Source organism: Homo sapiens, chromosome 5 (assembly GCF_000001405.40).
Source record: "Homo sapiens chromosome 5, GRCh38.p14 Primary Assembly".
Taxonomy (NCBI): Eukaryota; Metazoa; Chordata; class Mammalia; order Primates; family Hominidae; genus Homo; species Homo sapiens.
The window spans coordinates 111,722,319-111,743,518 of record NC_000005.10 but is presented as its reverse complement, the minus strand read 5'-3'; the positions used below and the strand labels follow the sequence as shown (position 1 = coordinate 111,743,518).

The window sequence follows — 21,200 nt, the reverse complement described above, 5'->3', positions numbered from 1 at the left end:
CATATTCCTAATTTCTTAGTTACAAATTAAAACCAATTTATATAATGGAATAAGGTGGGCCAGACTTAGAACTCAGATGTGTTAAGTAAATATTTATTCTGGTTCCACTCCAGGGAGGTAAAAGATTTTATTAACATATTTCTTGAATTAATATATTTCTTGAGGTCACAGGGGCAAAGAAAAGCTTATGCAGTGCTTAAATGCCTGAGGGGCCTTTTTGCTGCAAGCTAACAAAGGCTGATTTTTTTTTTTTTCTTCACTAAAGAGAGCAACTATCTTGTATTGTGGCCTTTGCTTTATTATTGTTCACTCACAACTGCATAATCTCAAACCAAGTTTTAAAAAGGCTGCTTTATTTTTTTCCCATTGTTTGGAAAGGCTCTTAGATATTACTTATAAGATTTGTATCCAAGCTTTATTCTTGTGCTTTTTCTCCTGGTTTACTTTGGGCTGTTACCAGCCATTTGTACTTTGTTTTCTCTTCATTGCTGAAAAGAAAAATTGCCCATTAAAAGTCAAGATTTGAAGTGCTGAACTTAATTCCTTGAGTCCAGTCCACAGTTTGGCTCCGATTACTGTACCAGGCTGACCTCCAGTCCAAGGGAGGGTGCCTTGGCAGAAATCTGAGAATTCCTCGATCAGTGACTCCCTTTTTTGGATTTATGGAGTCTTTAGGTGGATTGCTTTGTGCTAAATGTGCTCTTATTGGAAAGGAATGGGGCTGGAATGAGAGGAACACGATGTTGCACAACGTAAATGTTTGCAGCTGACCTCCGTGTTCACTATGCTTGAATTAGCTGGCTGTTGCTGCACCTGGCCTTGAACCATGTACCATCAAAGCCCAGAAAACTCACGTAATGAATGGTTTTAAGTCGTGGTGAAAAAGAAAAGTCGGGTAATTCTGTTAACCTTTTGTGGCTGGCTCCTGACCTGATTTCTTGCCCCCCTTGAAAGTCTTTGCTATTATTCTTAGAAATGAAATTTTAAAACACTCAGCAGCCAAACAAGCAGAATATTACATTGTGGAACAGAGTGACTGTGAAAGCTCTTTGTGCTGACGATTAATTTCACATGTAAACACTTTCATTTTGTTGCCAGCAAGGAGATTTCCTTTTCCTTTCTGTGCCTAGTTAAAGTCTAGAAATAAAATTCCACAGCTGTCAGGTTCCCACATATTCATCAGTGGCCTCTCAAGATGGCTTCACGATGAGCAGAGTGAATTTAGAGGATTCCACTATTAAAGTCTGCAAAGCTTGTTTCAGACACCCCAACTCATAAGATCAAGAATTGTAAATCTTTTGCCTTCCTGACATGTAATGTTGGACAGTAACATCATCTGTGGCATAATATTAATAAAATATGAACGCTTTCTGTGCCCGTAGTGGGAATACACACCCGAAGCGAAGCTAATGCCAATGGGTTTAACCAATTAGTGAGCCATCATTGTCTTCCTTATTGAAACACAGTTGTCTCCCCCAACCTCTATTTGTACATGTTAAGGACTTACCAGGCAATGAAACTCAAGGAGTGTCAGCAGGTGCCACAAAGGCCTTCCTTTCCTTTCTAGCAGGAGGGCATTTATGAGTCTAGAGTGCAGTAGTTGGGTGTTCATAATGCATACTCTGTAATTACCCATTGTTACCACAGCCAGCTCCAGTGTGTGTGTGTGTGTGTGTGTGTGTGTGTGTGTGTGTATGTGTGTGTTTAAATTAGGTCAGTGCATGTTTCGTTTAGCCCCCAAGCCAGAATGCTTGCCAACCTAAGCCCCAGCACTTTTATTCTGCTTTCCAGAATGTGCAGAGGTTACGTACATCATCTGAATGGCCCAGTGTTCTGCAGGCTTACCTTTTTGTCTTCCAGTGGCAACGTGTTTTCCCCACTGTGTGCTTCTTCTCCAAGCAGCATTCACAAGGTTAGGCAGATCTCTAAGACTACGTCTCTAGAGAGACAGCACAGTGCATCATCTTTTGGCACCATCTAATCTTTGATGTAATGTTGTTCAGAGAAAATGATCCTTGTAGCTCATTTATGGTTTCAGTTTACATTTGGCCCTCTCATATGACCAGTAACACCTGGGAACAGAGTGGCTTTTGAGGGAGATTCTTTATAGCACCACCTCAAAGGGTTTTTGCAGAAAGGAAGTGTATGTATATGCGCATGAATTCTCCTTGAATTACAGTACTAGGTTTCACAACCTCCTGGCTAGTTAGGCAGAATAAAACATGTACACATGCAGACACATACTATTTAATTGGCAGAAAGATTATGAAATATACCCCTTTGCTGCAGAAAGAATTGATTATACAGGTTGGACCCGTGCTGCCCTAGTCGGCTTTCCTAATTGCAGGAGACAGATACGCATACCCATCCTGTTAAGTTATAAAGGACCCGTGTGTGCATTCTTTAACCCTATAGGACCCCATCAGGGATAAAGAATAACATTACAGTTATGGTCGTTAACAACCAAACCATGCAACATATCTTCATGGCAGATTTCTGAAAATGTATGTTAACTAATGAAGTAAGCAGTATTTATGTGTGTGGTGTATTTAGCCTCTGCAAAAAGATATAATCCTGCCTTTAAGTATCATTCTCATAGAACAGTCTCCCCAAAGAAATATTGATAAAGACAGTAAATGAACAGAGGAAAATACAAATTTAGAAACAGGTAATAAGTAGATATGATTCAAATTTTACCTGCAATGTAGTAGAAGTGATAGGAAACATGTCCGAGAACTTTTAGATTGATTCTGTATTTGGACCATGCCATTGAAAAATAAATAGCAAATTTTGAAATGAAAAGCTTAAAAAGTGTTTGAAAAATAATTTAAGCAATAATCTAGTTTGCATATTTTTTAGGACCTTGGGGGACTGGTCTCTGAATTTTCCCACATTTCATTTTTCTCATTTGGAGCACTAGTTGTCAGCTATTAATAATAGTTTATACTAAGCAATAATTACCGGTGAGCTAATTACTTTATAGACTTTAAAAATGCAGTTATTTTTCATGATGCACTGTCCAAAGAGTAAAACAAGCCTCAAAAGAAAGGAAAGAAGGAAGGGAGGGACAAAACCCTGAGTATTTTATTTCCAATTTGTATGCTGTGATAGAATATTGAAACTTACCCAACTATCAATACATTCAAGAGAATCAGTACGAAATAGCACATTTTCACTATAAGTAATATTTAAATATATAGTGGGTTTAAGTATATTAATTATACCCAAAAGCATAAAATTGGTATTTCCTAAGAATTGATCAAGGATATCTAAATACAAGTCATGATTAGTATATTTTAAACCAGTGTGGTTCTTTATGACGTTCTGTTGTTTTTCAACCTAATTGTCAGTGAGATAAATATAGCATCATAGAAAAAGATGCATTAACCAATATATTCAGTGACAAGTATAAACACTCAAACTTCCCCAGAATTCAAACAAAACTGTTGCATATTCTCCAAATTAAAGTAACAAAATTTTCCTTCCCTCTACTTTTTTTTTTTTAACTAGCATTTTTGTTTTCTCAATTGTTGAAGGTACGATTTGCTTTTCTGATTTTCTAATAGACTTCTGGAAGAATAGTATTCTAGAGGGTTTTGAGGATTTTATTTGGGCAAAAACAATTGTTTATTGTATACATGGAAAAAGCAGTTTTAAAAGAAGACATACTTTTTGTGAAGATTAATGCAAACTTTGGTTTGTTTAATGAAACAACAGTTTTGAGGTATTCCCATACCCAGAACGCTTAAATTTTCTAGATGCAAACCACCGAAACAACAATAGAGAATTCAATGAAGTGTCAAAAAGAAAGTTAATTTAATTGGCCTTCATGAAAAACACAAACTTGAATTCAGACAATGAATGAATGGAATGCAGTATCAGCCACGTGTCCATGTTTGGAGTGTCAGTTGATGAGCACCAAGAAGAATGGGCAGCTTTACAGTTCAGCAAGCACAGATGGACTCTAGATAGATGGATCAGCTTACCAGTTTTCTGACCCTCATATTATCAGCACTCAAAAGCTTCAGTGATAGGGTCATTGTCAGTTCCTAATATTCTGAACTAGTTAGAAAACTGAGGGCACAGAAACTCATGGGTTCATGTGGGTCTTGTTACTGCTGTGGCCCCTAGGAGCTGCAGGGAGACCTGGCTACAGGGCCACTTGCCTGCATGGAGCTTATTCTGCACTTATCCCTCACCCTTCTATCATCTTCCTTGGCTGATTCTGACAGCCATCAAATGCCCTCCCAGATGTGCTCACTGCCACCCCCATTTCCTTTGTTGACAGCACTACTGGATATTATGCTAAATGTTGGTTTTGTTTGTTGTTTAGTCTGTTGATAGATGTTCCAGCAGCTATTACATTTGACTTAACCTATATATTTCTTTTTTGTTGTTGCCCTTAAAAAGCACACTGTGTTTAGTTTGCGAGGGCTGCCATAACAAAGTGCCACAGACTGGGCAGCTTACACAACAGAAATTTATTTTCTAACAATCTGGACGCTGGAAGTCTGAGATCAAGATGTTGGCAGGGTTGGTTTCTTCTGAGGCCTCCCTTCTGGGCTTGTAGATGGCTGTCTTCTCCCTGTGTCTTCATATGGTCTTTCCTCTGTGTATCTGTGTCCTAATCTCTTCTTAGAAGGACATGGGTCACTTGAGATTAGGGCCCACCCTGATGATGTCCTTATTTTAACTTAATTGCCTCTGCAAAGATCCTGTTTCCAAATACAATCACATTCTGAGGTATTGGTGGTTAGGACTTCCCCATATGAATTTTGAGGTGATACAAGTCAGCCCATAACACATTTTTAAAAGTAAATTTTTGTGGATTGATCACCCCTGCTGTACCTGCCCCACCCCCAGACGTGAGCATCTAGAAGGCAGAAACTCTGTTTCTCTTGCAATTCCCACAACCTAACAGTGTCCAGCACTTTGCAGCTATTTCATGAACTCTTGCTGCATGAATGCAAAAAAGGTTGGTAAGAAACTTGAAGTTGAAAAGTGGCACTATTTCTGACTGCCAGAAGTAGCACCTGGCGAGTAGACTAGAACATGTTCCGATGAGAAGAAGAGGCAAAGAAAATACAGTACATTTAAACCGAGACAGCTTTTGACAGAAAGGCAAATGATTGTTGCTTGGGATCACCCATTCTCCACATCCAGCACTGGGAATGGAATGGAAGTTCAGGCCCTTGCGGAATACCAAAGGTCAGGTCTGAATCATTTGAGAGCAAAGGTAATTAATGATTGTCAATAGATCTTTTCTCTTAAGCTCTTCACTTTAGAGTCTCAAAATACTGCAGGTATAAGAAAGAACAATGCTGTAATGCAGATAGATCATATTTGTTTCCAGTAATTTACCACGGTTTCTTAAAACTAGCTGTGCTTAAAAAAATGAAAAGTTTAAATATCTCCTTTAGGTACTATGTCTAGGGATATGCTGAGTTCTTAGATACCAGCCAAGCAGGTTTTAAGAATGTAACTGAGACTCCTCTGTCCCTGCCATTTTTGGCTTAAGGTTCTGACTTTGAAGGAGATTGGAAAACTACCAGAAGGCCAAAGCAACGTTCATTTTTCTAAAAGTATACAATGATTACTTGATGATTCAAATACTAAAAAATGCCTAATGTGCTAAAAATGCCTAATAGTGAAAAAAAAAGCCTTGGTCAGTGTAACAAATATGAAGTAAGGGAGAAAGTTTCCTTAGTCATGTGTGTTTTGCTGTCAGATATTCATGTTCCCAAGTTCTTTGGCAAAAGTCATTGGCTTTTTTTTTGTTTTTGTTTTTGTTTTTTTTTTTTTTAGCAAATGGAGAGTTCTTAGAACAACAGATTGTTAGAATAGGTGTAATAATTTCTGAAAGGCAAGCTATTTTCCCCTACAAATTAGACTTTGGTGGTTTTAGTAATGATGCTTAGAAGTTAAATGTTAAAGCAGTGTCATTTCGTTAAAATGGAATATCCCAGAAAAGCACAAGAACGCAAGAATGACAATACTTACCTGACCTTGCTTTTCTTTGCTTCCTGTGCCTACAAAGTTTTTACATGTACTTTTATCAACGTTTTTGGTTTCCAACAGAACTTAATTTCTCACTAATATTTTAAGACTGTACTTGAAATATGATTTTTAAAGTGGTAATATAGAAATGTAATCACTTTATATCCATTTATATGAAGTGAATTTAACAGTAGATTCAAACTTGGGGTCCCCTAAAGTTGAGCCCAAACTGGGCTTTTGTGTGCTGTGACTTTGTTATAAGTCTGAAAAAAGCTTGTGTATTTGAGATTATTTTGTTTTCTTCACCCATTCCTGGATAAAGGAAATGTCAGAAGTGGCTGCTTGTCCCAAACAAGGCAGATGGTGGATTACTTTCTGAAGGAGCTGGGCACAGGAGAGGAATATGTGGAAAAGTAAGGTGGTTGGGGTGAGGGGAACCACATGGCTCAGAAAACAGACCCAGTCCAAAAAGAAAATAGTTCTAGCTCTTGCAGAATGAGCTCTCTTTAAGACCCAAACGTGGGTGGCGGCTGTGGACTGGTATAATTTTGAGGGAGTGGTGGTAGGCGATTTGCATTCTGGGATAATGCGAGGGCAGCAGGATAGTGGAAGGAACTGAAGTTTAGAATCTGGAAACCTAGTGTGAGTTTCAGTCCTACCCTACACTACCTGTGTGACTTGGGGCAAGTCGACCTTTTTGAGTTTCAATTTCTTCATTTGTTTAATGATAAGACCAATATTATTGGCTTATCATCAGGACAAATTAAGTAATGTATGCAAAATTGCTTTGTAAGCTAGGATGTGCTACAAATGTCACTGGTGTAGAGCAAAGATAGTTAGTTACTGTTCAATTATTCCGAAGAGTGAACACACTTAGCCATCTACATTTCCTACCCTAGATTCCCTGACAAAATGGATTGATCGGGGTATACCAAGCATTACAGTCAACTCAATGATTAGGTTACCTCAATTACGGCTTCCAAAACCAAAATGTAAACACACATCTAAGTCTGTTTGTTAATCTGTTAATGAGGTGTGACTCTTAATTGTTGTTTATTAAATGTGAGGCTTATTTATTGCAGAATTTGGAGAATCTGATCTGGAGGGAATCTTACCTAATTTCACTCTGCTTTCAATCAGAACTATATTAAATGTGAATTAGCCCTGACAGATGGTTGTTGGATTCTGTTTCTAAATTTTTTAAAGAAGATTTCACAGTTTTTCTCTAATTTCTTTTAGTAATTTGACAATTCTTATGCTGAGTTCTTCCTTAGAGCTGACCCAAATCTTAGTTGTAATTTTAAGGCCTTTCCCCTCTCCTGTCATTACTTGAAGATGGAGAACAGCTGGTCGGCAACCTTATGCTAATCATCCTTTGTATATTTAAAGAAGAGTTACTCAGTTCCACTCCCTCGCTCCACCCCCTCCCACCACCGAATTCATCAGCTAGTATTCTCTGAATCATTCATGGTGATGACACCTATCTCCCGCCCCTCCCTCAGACACTTGGCTGTTTCAGGCAGCTGGGCAGAATGTGTTGTCACTGGCCACATGGACTTGGAGAGAATCTGGGCTGCTGCTTTCTTTCCTCTTTTATTTTATTCATAATCTTTGGCCTTCTAATAAATGATCAGAATAACCCTTAACAGTGTTTGATGGAGTTTTGCAAGGATACTTATAGAATCCTTTGAAAGTTAGACCTCCCCGATGACTTAGTGCACTCAGCCAGACATACCATGAAGCTGCTACTTTGCCTGCTAAAAATAACATTGATTGATATCTCTGCTTTATTGGACTTAATCTTGGAAGACATCGAGCTGAAACTCTCCTGAGTGCAGTGCGTGTTCAGAAGCACACTAACAGTTTGAAAGAGTTAATGGTTTCCCCAGTGCTCTAAGTGGTAGTCGGGAATAAGTAACCATTGAGGAGAATTGAGCTCATTAAGGTTATCCCGTGTAGTTTCAGAGTGGATCCTGTTTTTAATCTGAATGTGTATGCTTTTGTGTCTCTATAGGTTTATTACCCAGAACTCTTTGTCTGGGTCAGTCAAGAACCATTTCCAAACAAGGACATGGAGGGAAGGCTTCCTAAGGTAAGATCCTTAGATGCCATATTGTTAACACTATTTTCAATATAGAAACAATTGTTTTAAAATATCAGAGCTTTTTCATTTGAATACCCATTATAGGCTGCTATAACAATCCATTAATCTGATACTATGATGACCTTGGAAATAATGTACTTTTAAAAAATATCCTAAAGTCCTATGACTTAAAGTTCACATTATCTTCCTTCATAAATGAAAAATTTTCATTTAAAACATGGAATCAGTTTATCAAAGTACAGTTTACAGGTTTTAAGTCTGTTCCATTTCTGGTTAGACAAACTCAAATACAATGATCAAACTAAAAGATTTCTTAAAAGTATGATGACTATTAATTGTCTGCTAATGAAGTCTGAAGGTCTGATAAGATTATCCATGAAGCAAAAGGGAGGAACAAAAAAACTGTTACATTTCTTTCTTCTAATTTTTGAGCCTAAAAACCATTTTTTATAAACGTGGTTTCATTGTTCTGACATCTTAGGTGTGGCAGTTCTCTGCCTCAAGAAAATTTGTAAAATTTATATTTTAGATTTTAGCATAATTTCTGAAACAAACAATAACAACTACTTACCAGTTTTTACTGTAGATACTGGACTTTGCCTCTTAGGGTGAATACTTGTTTGACTTCAAGCGGGGAGAGTATACTTTTTAACCAATGACTTGCTGATTTTGCAGTTAAGAAAGAAAAACAGAATCCACTGAAAATAAAATTTCTATTTGAAAGTTTCATAAGTGTAATTGACTAACGGTGAGTCCTCCCCCAGCTGTTACTGGTATTTCAATGTTTAAGAAATTATTTTATTTACACTAAATAGTATCAACAATTCCCTATCTTATACTGGCAGGCAGAAACTGAAGAGGTTGTATCAACTGGCAGTTTGCACTGAAAGAAAACAATCTTAAATCACTTTTAATCTTGCAGAGCATTTTTGAAGGTCAAGGTTGAAATCACTGGCAGGAAAGTAGGTGAACAAAATGGTTTGACCCTGCCTGAACTAGACTTGCACTGATTTGTAGAGCTGGAGTGGAAGAGAGCTAAAATAGTAGCGCTTTCCTTAAAAGACACCCACACCCCACCACCTCACCAGCAGCACACCAGCGGCACGAGCAGTATAACCACAGACATTCGTCACTGTGCCAGATCAGGGCATAATTCTCTTAAGGCAGCTGAGGCCTTCACATTAGTTCTTGCCTCATTCAGGCATCCAGAGGTCCTCTCTCTTTGATACTGGTGACATAAACCAGAGGGGCAAGACTAGGCATAGTTCCTTGATGAGTTCAGTGGTGCCTCACCGTACCCTTAGAAAGCCAGCCCTGCTGTGCTAGGTCTTGTCTCACACAAAGACATGCTCCCAGGGGTGGGCACCGTGGATCATGGTATTCAGGTCTTCTGCTATTTTAAGTTCTTTCTTCTCTAAATATGTGAATAATATTTTAAGCATAGTGTTATTTGTTCTTTTTCCAGAAGTTCCCTTCTGGAAAAGCATATCTTTGTATAATTGTAGGAAAAATAATCTTGACTTACTTGGTCCAAAGCACATTATTAACTGGGGATTAATTTCCTAGTAGTCATCTGTCGGGAGGGCTGATCCACCCCGAGGCACATTAACTGGCGTGACTTTCAGGACGGCGGGGCTGTGGGAGCCACTGGACACATCTGCCCCCCAACCCCTAGCCTCTTGAATTACTCAAGTCCCTCAGCTCTGTTGGCACAAATACGTGCTGGATGATAGAAGAACCGTTTTTCCCATGGATGAACTTTTTTTGGCTTGAATTCTTACAAGGCCTGACTTCTGGATCTGGAGAAAGAAGACTTCTTTGTGTCCCATCTTCAAAATGCCTCCTCCACTTGTTGCAGAAGCCTAAAATTCCTTTAGTTGGGGCAGAAAGCCTATTATTATTTAAAAAAAAAAAAAATAGTGGGAGGGTGTGTGGATTGAAATCAGTCAGGGGAAGAGGATTGAAATCTAGTAAATGCAGGACTCCATAGGGAGAACGCACAGAACTCTGTCTCCTCAGGAGCACCTCTCTCCACGGGCATGGTGGGCTCCAGGCCCTCAGGGTGCTTCAGTAGCACACCTCCCTGTGGGCCCTACTACCATTGCCTCATGAGGGTCCAGTCTGTATGCTTGTCTTCCACACAGCAAGTTAATGAAGGGTGAGATGGGCAGGGACTGTTACTGTTTCTGTTTCAATCTCTCTCTAAGCTTGAAATCGAATAGAGTACTCCAGCCATAGTAGGCACTCAGAAAATGAATAATTAATGAAGAAATGTATATTATCTGGGACCTTGAAACAGAAAAAATGGTAAAAATGGTAAATTCAAATCTGAAATAATCGTCACTTTCTTTTTTTCTGGAAGTGCCTCTTCCCAAATCCCTAGCTCTTCCTTTTGTTTTGTTGTGTATGTTTCATGGAGGTAGAAGATTAGTACTGAGACTGAGATTTAAATAGAGAGATACACTAACGTTCTGTATATTCACTTTTGAACAGAGTAAGTCTGAACTGGAGCAGTTTTAAGGCAAGCTGTGTAAAGACTATAATTGTTGAGTTAACATTTATCAACTTTTGGTTTTCCTTCTTTTCTTGCCTGTGACAATTAACAGCCATTGAACTCTTCATTTGTCCAAAACCTAAGTTTGTCCTATCCTGAACCATGGTAACTGGTTGACTGTGGGGTGAGGTGGGGTCGGGCTGGCAGCATTATTTTAAAGACACTGGGATTACAGTGGATTTCCTTTTTTTTTTTTTTTTTTTAAATTTTGGGACTGTGTACCAAGATTCCAAGATTGAAATTATTTTCACAACTGCAAGTAACTACCCAATATTATGCTTTTGGAAATTGAATCTAGACCCTTAAGGGTGTGTGAGTGGTGAATTATATTTTTATTTAATTTTCTGGTTTGGTCCCATTGGTATTTAATGATACCAAAACAACCTCTAAAATCACAACCTAAGATTGGAATATTAAAGTACATCATGGTTATATATGTGCAAAAAATGCTGTATGCTCTCAAAGTCCGAGACTTTTAAGTAAAAAATTGAGGCATACCAGATGTTTAATATGGAAAATCTGTACAGTAAGTAAGACTTTTTAAAGTTGAATAATCTGTTGCATTTAGTTCACCCCTGGGTTGCTGAAAATATTTATTCAATTTCAAGTTGTTTGGAAGTTACTGGTTTCTGAATTCTTAAAAAGAAATTCAGATGTGTTAATTTATAGGCCACAAAGTAAGATTATCACTTTAATCCAAGTACTTTACATCTAGTCAAACTGGCTTATTAAAACTGTCTTGTTAGAACATGTGACTTGAGCAACAAAAAAAAAAGCCCACATGTTTTAAAACCACAAAGGATAATTTCTTCCAAGAAAATGTCAGTAATTAAAACTCCAGAGTTCAGCTGAAAGAGAGACCATCGTCAAATCTTCACTGTGTTCATACCTGTACAGGGCATAAAATCTATCTGTTGTAAATGAATACCTGTATTGTGCATCATGTGGGCAGGTGTGCTTCACTGTGCTGTGCTTCTGCTGTCTGGTTGTGATGGAGAGCTCCTCTCCACTGTTGGCGCTGCAGCAGTGTGTCCGGGAAGCCACGTGGCGGCGGATCAGTAGTCACACTGAGATTGAGTTATTCTAGTCAGAAACACAAAAACCTTTCTCATCAGGATTGTGAGGAGAGCCTTAGAATAGCCCCAGTCAGTCTAGATGAGCTGAATCTCACTCTCTTCTGGCCTTGGTTTCCCCACTAGCCCCCACTTTCCTATGACCGCTGTCTGGGCACCCTCACATCATTTCTCTCCCAGACAGACACTTCCCATCTTTGGTAGCCACTTCTGTCATGCGCCGATTGCACATAGAATAAGCCATACATAGATAAGATTGATGCAAGTTGAGATACGTTTTTAAATATTTTTATTACATATTAGAAAATAGATTGTTAACCCGTCTTCATCACACCCACTGGACTCTTTTTTTTTTTTTTTATAATTATCAACTGACACTCCTGTGAGTATCTATCAATCACCCAGTCTAAGGTTGGGCCCTATCTGATACTAGAAACTGTCCCAAGAAACCTGACACTGGGGAATGCTGCCTCACACATGGCTGGCACCACCGTAACAGAAGCACTTCATTCTACTGAAGCAAAGGTGGCCAGTGTTTAATTACTTCATTTCCTCACAGACCTAATATTTACATTCAGGTGAACTGTGTTTAATATGTAAACTCTGTTTTGCAAAACAGCAAGAGTTCAAGGGTATAATGTGGGCTGGGCAGGAAAAGCAAAATTTTAAAAAATGGTTTCAGAAGCATGACTAATTTTGTCTTTTATGTGTGTCTGTCTGTGTGTGGGTCTGCCTGCTTTGCAGGGAAGACTTCCTGTCCCAAAGGAAGTGAACCGCAAGAAGAACGATGAGACAAACGCTGCCTCCCTGACTCCACTGGGCAGCAGTGAACTCCGCTCCCCAAGAATCAGTTACCTCCACTTTTTTTAATCGTAACACCTCCATTTGTATTACATATGGTGTATGGGTATTGATGAGGTCATGGTATCATATATGGGATTTTTTTCTGTGTAAATCATCAAGTATAAGAAGAAACTATGGGACTCTGAGCCTTGCTTTAGAGAATTTACAGTGGACAAATAGGTGTCATCAAACCAGTTTTTAATCATTCTGACTCAAGTGAAAACGCTCAGAATTTCACACTGTGAATCCACGTTTACAACCCTTACAGGTGGGCCTTCAGGCCTGGTTCGCTACAACAATGTCTTCCACAACTCAAACTCCCACCGCGCTCACACAACCGGTCCACTCCTGCCTTTTCACTCACACAGCTCCCGACTGCTTCTTGCAGAGGCTGAGAGTCCCCCCCCCACCTTTTTTTTCATTTAGATGTAACAAACCTAGTAGTTTATGTTCATCAATTGTCTGTATATCTCTATATTTTATCCATGTACTCTTTTGATGTATAGAAGTAGTTTGAAACTCATTGTTTCCTTGTGGTAAGTGACCGAGATGCTGCCACAGGACCTGAGACACTGATGAATGGTGCTATTTTGGACTTTCAACATGCTCCTTGGCGAGGTAGCTCTGATGGAGTTATTTTTTATTTCCATGTTCTAAGAAGGTGTTGGTACTCTGTTTCCCTGAATGTTGTTCTCTAGACTGGATTGACTTGTTTTCCTTGTGTCTTCAGTGTGGCTTTCTTCCTCAGTGTTGTAGGTTGAGCGAATGCTACCAGAGTGTGAGAGACCATTGTCTCGTTGGCTGGCGCTCACGGACATGCAGTCACGGTAGCGGGAGCAATCACAAAACTGTAATTTACTTACCAAATCTCTTCCTTTCCGTAGCCTCGCCTGCCTGACTTAGAGAAAGAAAAGCAATAATTTTACAGGCATTTTGAGGTGTCTCTTTGGGTTCTTTCTGTTTGAAAGGATATTTGTCGAAAAAAAGAGCAAAACCGTTTTAAATAAACTCCCCCTGGAAAAAAACCCAAAACACTGGCATCTGAGTGGGAATATGAAAATGACACCTTTTCCAAATATTAAATTGGAAAACAAGGTCTACAAAATCATGATACTTTTTTAAAAGGCAGAGCATTCTTTTTTCGGCAATTTTGATAAGCAAGGTGTAGATTTACATTTTTGTCCTTGCTCCCAACGAAATGGATAAACAAAAATAAATTACCATCTACTCATGGAATGTTGTTGTGTTAGCCAGTCTGAAAGCCCACCTTAATTTTTATATAACTGTCTTTAGCTCTTCTTTTGACAGGGCAGGCCTTGTTCTGAACTGTTTCGCTTCTGACTGTTAAACACCGATGACGCATGCACTGCACTTCTTCGTTTTCTTCTTGCTCCCCCATTGGCCTGAGTTTCTTGTGCATTACTCCTCTCCCTCCTTCGTTAGAATAGGTATATCAGCTGTGTAAATAGAGCAAGAAAACAGTATTCTGCATCTGTGGCATTTATGTAGAGTTGCAGTTGTGTACTGCTGAAAATGCAGGCTTTTGTAACAGTGTGATCTTTACTGATGCACTCATGACAAGTACCCAATGTATTTTAGCTATTTTAGTAGTATTTGTTCAATAAATACGCAAGCTGTAAGGTAACTGTCTGATTTGGCTCATCATTGAAGAGGCCTAGTTTTGAATGTCTTCTCTGGTTCTTGCTAATTCATGTGTTTCCAGAGCCCCAGAAGTCAGGCCAGCAAACCCAAGGGCAAATATCAAAAGAGAGAGAATCAGCTCTGCCTTTCATGCGTTTTCCCTTTTGAGGATTTTATGAGATTAGGGGCTAGGCAGTGGCTCATTAAGATGGTATTTGCAGAGCTGCCTCTGGACACAAAGCAGAATTAGACCAAGATCCTTTTATTTCTACACTTTTTCTCCCTTCCAAGGCATTCCCATACGCTTCAAAACTTACTCTTTCTCACTCCTTGCCATTAAGACCCACTCTGTGGTATTCTTTAAGACCCACTCTGTGGTATTCTTTCTTTTTCCCTGCCAAAAGAGATCTGACCTCCCTTCTTCATGGAATATGTGCACTTTTCCTCAGACAAAAAGCTTAAACTTTTGTAAGAGGATAAAAATTTGAGACAGAATTTAAAGTCATTAAGGCTTAATTCATGTGTACCCAGATACCTGGAACCTACCAGATGATAAGGTGATGATGAGCAGAGCCTTCTAGAGGTCTCATGTGACCCTGAAACCTGGCAATTCAGGGGATTCATGCACTCCCTGTGCATGAGAAATGTCTTCTGGTTTCTCCTCATCCATTACGGGAGTGAAATTTTAACTTGGCTTGTACACAGGTTGCTTATTTGGCTGGTGGGTTCAGATATTGGAGTTTCACCTCAACAGAGACTAAGGAACAGACCTGTGAGATAAAAGCCAGAGAGAGAAAAAAGAGCTAAAGTTAACAGGTAACATTGCCCCTACAGTGGGAGCTTAGCCTCTAGAGAGAGAGTGGGCATCAGATTCTCTCTGAGAAATCTTGGTTCTTGATATGTGTGTTATGTCAGGAAGGACTTTTACATTTGGGGGTTATTGAGCTTAACTTGAAATTAATGGCACATCTCAGATTTTGTTTAAGTTTCCTATTTACCCTCAATTTTTAATCTTATTAAGAGAAAGGAGCCTTAGGGCAGAACCAAATTCTAACTAACTGCTTACCAGATCATTAGAATTTCATTCTGAAGGAAAATTCTTAAAAATGACACACCACCATTTTGAGTATTAACCTCTTGATATAATAAGGGAAGTCCTTCTTAAATTTAATTACCTTTCTTTTTAAAATTTTTTTTTTATTAAAAAAAAGAAAAAAAAAACCATCATCTGAAGACTTACGTGGAGCTGGAGAATCTGCTCCCAATACAGGTTAGTCCATGGCTGTTTGCAGGATGCCTCAGTTCTTCTACTCATGAGCCTCTCCCTAGTGCTGCTTGAGTGTCCCCATAACTTCTGGCTTCCTGAAGAGCAAGTAATTCAAGAGAAAGCTGGGAGCAAGCTAAAATGCCATGACCTATTATCAGAAGTCACCATCATCTATCAATCATATTCTATTCATTAGAAGCAAGTCACTAAGTATAGCCCACACTCAAGGATGAAGGAAATTAGTTTCCACCTCCTAAAAGGAATACCAAAGAATTTATGGATATATTTTAAAAATAGCACATGATCTGAAGTTGAAGAGCTCAAGGTAATTATAGGTCAGGGTCTGCAAGTAGGAAGGGCTGAAACTAGCATCACAGCTACTTCTTTCTATTGAAAATTTTTTACAGTCCTTTGAAGCGGCGTATGAGGAGAGCATCCAGGAACTATAATACTGGGATTCCATAGCCTCCATTTATTAATCCAAGTTCAATGAGACCCAATACTAATATTTAGAGAATGTTATGAGAAGCTATAAAAACAGGGGAGCTGGAATAAATGATGTTTAAAGTTCCATCCAACTCTTTGGATTGTGGAGGTTGCTGATGACAATTCTTCAGCCTCCAGAAAGCTTGAAGTAATGATTGACTCTGCACTTTAAACTTGAAAGATTCGTGTGAGGATCCAGCAATGTTTTGTGAAGCATTGTAAGAAGTGGAGAGATAGCTGGGCTCACTTCAGAAGACCCAAATTTTGATTCAAGACTGCTTTGTTCTCTCACCAGAGGCAAACATATCACCAGGTTGCCTTTGGGAGGAGACTGCTAACAACCATTGAGCAGACATAACCTGGAGATTTGTTTTGCAATGTGTTGTATAACAATGTTGATTTAATTGCCTCAGGCGATTTCACATGAAAATCCAGGTAGAAAAGTGGAAAATATAGCAACAGTGGGATTGGAGGTGAATAGCTGCCTCCACCTGTGGATGAGGCATGTCCTCTCTTTTTATCAAACTCTCATCACCTCTTTTCTTATATCCTGTCTGCTTCATTTATTTATATCATCTGCTTGCCTCTGTTGGTATGGCAGTTAGCAACACTAATCATCTGGTTTGGGGAGGACGGTGCTGCACTTATTTTCACCAACAAAGGGCCAGGGGACGTTTTGCACTCATTTTTTGATAGCAGGAACACTTACAGGATCATGAACACCACATTGGAATCAGAGGTTCCTCAGTGCTACTCAAAACTTCTCTGCTGCAATTCCAACTCTACCTCCCTGGGCCCTCGTTAGAATCCTTTGATCATCCTCCTCCAGGGATTGAGATCACATGATAAACAATCTTGGATTGGGTCAGGTTAAGCTATATGCAGGTATGATAAATTCATAATTTTCAAACTGCGGTATGTGTACCTAAGGCTTTTCACGGATTGCATACTCAGGACAATTTTCAGGAAATTAATTTCCAGATCCTCTATATACACTATACTCTTTCCTTAAATTGATCTGCTGAGAATGAGTCTTTGTTCATACTGTTTCTTTTCCCACAGAAAAAAGATATAGGCTACCCATCCCAAATCTTAATACATTGCTCTTAATGTGACACCAAAAACCTCAGATGTAGCAAACAGAGGAAAGGTTTGATGATTAATCATAAAACCATAGAGCCTTGGGCTTTTGCCTCTTATACACATGTTAAAGCTGATTATGATGTTAGATAACATAGAAATTGGGTGTTTGGACTCACAAATAGATTTTCAGAATTCAGATGTATGATAAAGTGGAGTGATGGTAACAATTTTTTTTTTTTAACGGCTTTTTGGTTTTCTCTTCCTGACTCTTGTCAAAGAATTTCTTGCTCTTGAGGGAAAGCCATGGGAGAGTGAAACAAAGAAAATTAGTAGAAGGCACTGAATGCCAAAAATGTCTTCTTACATATAATTATAATCAATTATTTCCCATTATTGTCAATATCCTTCCCTAGGATGTATCTTGACTGGGAAAAAAAGTAACTTGGAAGAGCTAAAGCAGTATAGATTTGCCATGCTGATTATTTTAAATGTAACCAGAATGGCTTTTGGGAATGCCAAATTTTTATAAGGTGCAGTAGACAGATAGAACCCAAGGATAAAAACTTTCACATGGTTCTTTCAGATTTGATGTGCATTCATTAATAAAGTTGTCAGAACCCATTGTATCAAACCATAACATGAAACATTTATTCAATTTTATTCAATTCTTGTCTTAGTCTATTTTCTGTTGCTGTAACAAGACACCGGACTGGATAATTTATTTTAAAAAAGAAACATTCGGCTCATGGTTCTGGAGATTGGGAAGTCCAAGAGCCTGACATTGGAATTTGCTCAACATCTGGTGAGGGCCTTCTTGCTGCCTCAAATTGTGATAGAAGGGTGGAAGGGCAAAAAGTGCATTTCAACTCAGGTCCCTCCTCTTCTTATAAAGCCTTGGGTCCCATCATGGGGTCTACTCCATCAACATATGAATTTGAGGATTAATTTTTCAACATATGAAACTTGGGGAACATACTCAAACTATAGTTGTTTCTACCATTTTATCTTATAACATATTTCTTGTTTAATCATTCTCCAAAGCCAGTCAGCAGTATTCAATGCCCGTACATAATTTTACTACAGATATACCATGCCTTTTATCATTTTCCTGCTTTATATGAGAAATAGTGTATTGGTCATCTTGTTTTTATAACTTAAACATGGAAAAATCAATTATATTAGATCTTTATCTTAATTGTTTTTAGTGATCAGTTTCATAAGATATACTTTTAGTTCTCATTGATTTTTATAATATTCCTCAAAATAGCTATTTGAATTGAAGAATGAAAAACTTTTTCTCACAGAAAGTGTATCTGATTTGGCTGACTGGTTTGACAGTGAAGACTGGCCCTGCCAATGAGGTTTTATGACAGATATTTTTCATAAATGAGCTAAATCTGCAACTCCAAATTAGTGGCAATACATTTAAAACAAGAAATAAGATCAAAGCATTTTATCAAAAAGCATTGTTTTGGCAAACATGTAATAAAACTAAAAATTTGTTTGATTTTCCTGCCATTTCTGGTGATACGGGTTTTAAAAGGTGGGCCTAAGTACAAGTGTTACAGCACAATTAACAATAATTTGATGAATCTTAGTAAAGCTCTCTTGGTATACTTCCCAGAAATTGAGAAAGTAAATTATTCAAATTGCTGGAGAACAAATCTCTTTGCTAGTCAGGTGCTTCCTAGTTCACTGTTTAAAAGAAATGAAGAAGGACTTTATCAAATTGTCATGTGCCCGAAGATTAAAAATATTTTTGCTAATAGACCATTACACAAATGTTGACATATAACATAGAAGGAATTCAAAGAACTGAATTACATTGCTATAATAAAACACTCTCAATTCCTTCAACTTACATCTATAAAAACAAAAAAAAAAAAATAGAAATAGAATTGATACTGACCCCTTATTTCAGCAGTAAGTAATGTTCATTTACAGATAAAGGAACTAACTGAAAAAAGTTTATCATCTCATTAAAGGATGCATTTGCAATATAATTTTACTTTTTGTGTTTAATAATATGTTTGTTTAATCAGTAGTGTATTGATAATAATTCAATTGCATAAATTTTTTTAATGTTCAGAGCTTTATGGTAACAAAATAAAAGTAAAAAATTGAATTTAGGTATATTTCAATTGCGGATACATGTGATAGCGTAAGCAGTATTTTCAAACAAAATTATGTTACATTAAGGTAAAGATCTTTGGAGGAAGTTGAATAAAAATTTAAGTTCAAGTAGAAAAAGAAAGTCAGATTCCTAAAAGTTACGGAAGTATTTGTTTTGTTTTGTTTTGTTTTTTAAAGAATGCAACACTCTGGGGGTGTTTGCATTTTTTTTTATTATACTTTCTGAAACTATTCCAATCAATAGAAAAAAAGGGAATCCTCCCTAACTCATTTTATGAGGCCAGCATCATCCTGATACCAAAGCTGGGCAGAGACACAACCAAAAAAGAGAATTTTAGACCAATATCCTTGATGAACACTGATGCAAAAATCCTCAATAAAATACTGGCAAACCGAATCCAGCAGCACATCAAAAAGCTTATCCACCATGATCAAGTGGGCTTCATCCCTGGGATGCAAGGCTGGTTCAATATACGCAAATCAATAAATGTAATCCAGCATATAAACAGAACCAAAGACAAAAACCACATGATTATCTCAATAGATGCAGAAAAGGCCTTTGACAAAATTCAAAAGCCCTTCATGCTAAAAACTCTCAATAAATTAGGTATTGATGGGACATATCTCAAAATAATAAGAGCTATCTATGACAAACCCACAGTCAATATCATACTGAATGGGCAAAAACTGGAAGCATTCCCTTTGAAAACTGGCACAAGACAGGGATGCCCTCTCTCACCACTCCTATTCAACATAGTATTTGTTTTTAAAAATGGAATGATGGTGGGTTATCCATTTTCATGGTGTTTAGATTCAACTATATACATTATGGGAGAAATTCAACTTTCATTTTAACATGAAAACATTTATAATATGCCCCAAATTACATCCTTTAAAGTGTTTAAATATATGATGAAAAACATTACTATTCATAAAAATTACATGACAGTACATACTTTAATACAATTCTTATAGGGGATATAAAAGCAAAAGAGTTTGAAAACCTCTGAGCTAGAAAAGAAACCTAGGTGCTATGTTTTGAGGAAGTCACTCCTGGACAGAAATACTTCCCATCTAGTCTCAATGCCTGAAAATTTGTCCCATTAATTCTCTTTGATAGAAGCCCTGAAGGGCACTGGCCATTAATTTACTATACTGCGGGGACCAAGACCCTGAGGAAACAGCACCAGTGAATTTTGATGGATGGAGAAGGGAAAGAAAGGTCCAGACTCCCGGTCAGAGGTCAAGCAGGACAGGCTGTGTGGCTTGGAGGCACTGACCACACAGGGGAGTGATGAAAGAGGGTCCCAGAGAAGATGATGTCTTCCTGGGCTGCAAGTTCAATGAGTGTATAAAAGAAAGACTGGCAACTCTTCTTAGAGCCTTCACATCATTCCTCCTTGACATAGTCAAATCTTTTTAATGCTACTTTTTTTTTATTTCTCCAGATTCTTCATCACATCTCTATCCAGCATATTCAAAAGGGCTGAGTCAATTATTCCTCCCATAGGAGAAGGGGGCACAAGTCAGTAAGAGAAGTGGGATTATACCTCAGGTCGCAACCCTGTAGTACTTGAGATCCCAGTACACCTAAGAAAAGCCTATACAACAGCAAGCAGCTCATGAATCAGGGCAGAAAAAGAGGGTCATCTTTTCTTTTATTGCATGTCTCCATTAGGCTTCCTTCTGAACATAACTTCATAGAAGGAATATGAAATTAATCTATTCCCTTGCACAGTACACGGTGCCACTAATGCATGGCTTAGCACCAGGAGATCCATGTGGCTATGTGAAAGCCTCATAGAAAGAGAATTCTAATCGCTTCTCGGCCTTTTGGCTAAGAACAAGTGTAGTGGAGAATTCTAAGAATGCATTAATTTGCTGATTTCAAGTTGAGCAGCTTTATTTATTAGCTGCAACCTTTCTGAGCCCAATGCTGCTATTAATTTCCACCAACACATTGGTCCCAGCTGAGCTCAGGGCTGCACAGAATGAGCTGGCTCTTTCTCCAATGCAATA

General features: G+C 38.2%; 1 protein-coding gene and 1 long non-coding RNA gene across 12 annotated transcripts in view; one reads left to right on the top strand and one right to left on the bottom strand.

Annotated features, from left to right (window-relative positions):
- Positions 1 to 14,717, top strand: part of NREP (neuronal regeneration related protein) — a 248,131-nt gene extending 233,414 nt beyond the window's left edge. For 8 of the 11 annotated variants that reach the window (NM_001142476.1, NM_001142477.1, NM_001142480.1 and 5 more), the window contains 2 exons: positions 8,012 to 8,089; positions 12,473 to 14,216. In NM_001142476.1, the coding sequence (NP_001135948.1) occupies positions 8,012 to 8,089; positions 12,473 to 12,598 (204 nt within the window). In that variant the 3' untranslated portion in view covers positions 12,599 to 14,216. Of the gene's footprint in view, positions 1 to 8,011; positions 8,090 to 12,472 lie in introns of all 11 variants that reach the window. The other 3 variants (NM_001142474.2, NM_001142475.2, NM_001142478.2) reach the window with 1 other exon arrangement.
- The window catches only part of STARD4-AS1 (STARD4 antisense RNA 1), a 227,501-nt gene continuing 210,093 nt past the window's right edge, over positions 3,793 to 21,200 (bottom strand). The window contains exons 3-7 of the long non-coding RNA NR_040093.1: positions 15,453 to 15,574; positions 14,759 to 14,982; positions 13,839 to 14,028; positions 8,673 to 11,738; positions 3,793 to 5,215 (exon numbers count right to left, since the gene is read on the bottom strand). This is a non-coding gene — a long non-coding RNA (STARD4 antisense RNA 1). The remainder of the gene's footprint in view (positions 5,216 to 8,672; positions 11,739 to 13,838; positions 14,029 to 14,758; positions 14,983 to 15,452; positions 15,575 to 21,200) is intronic.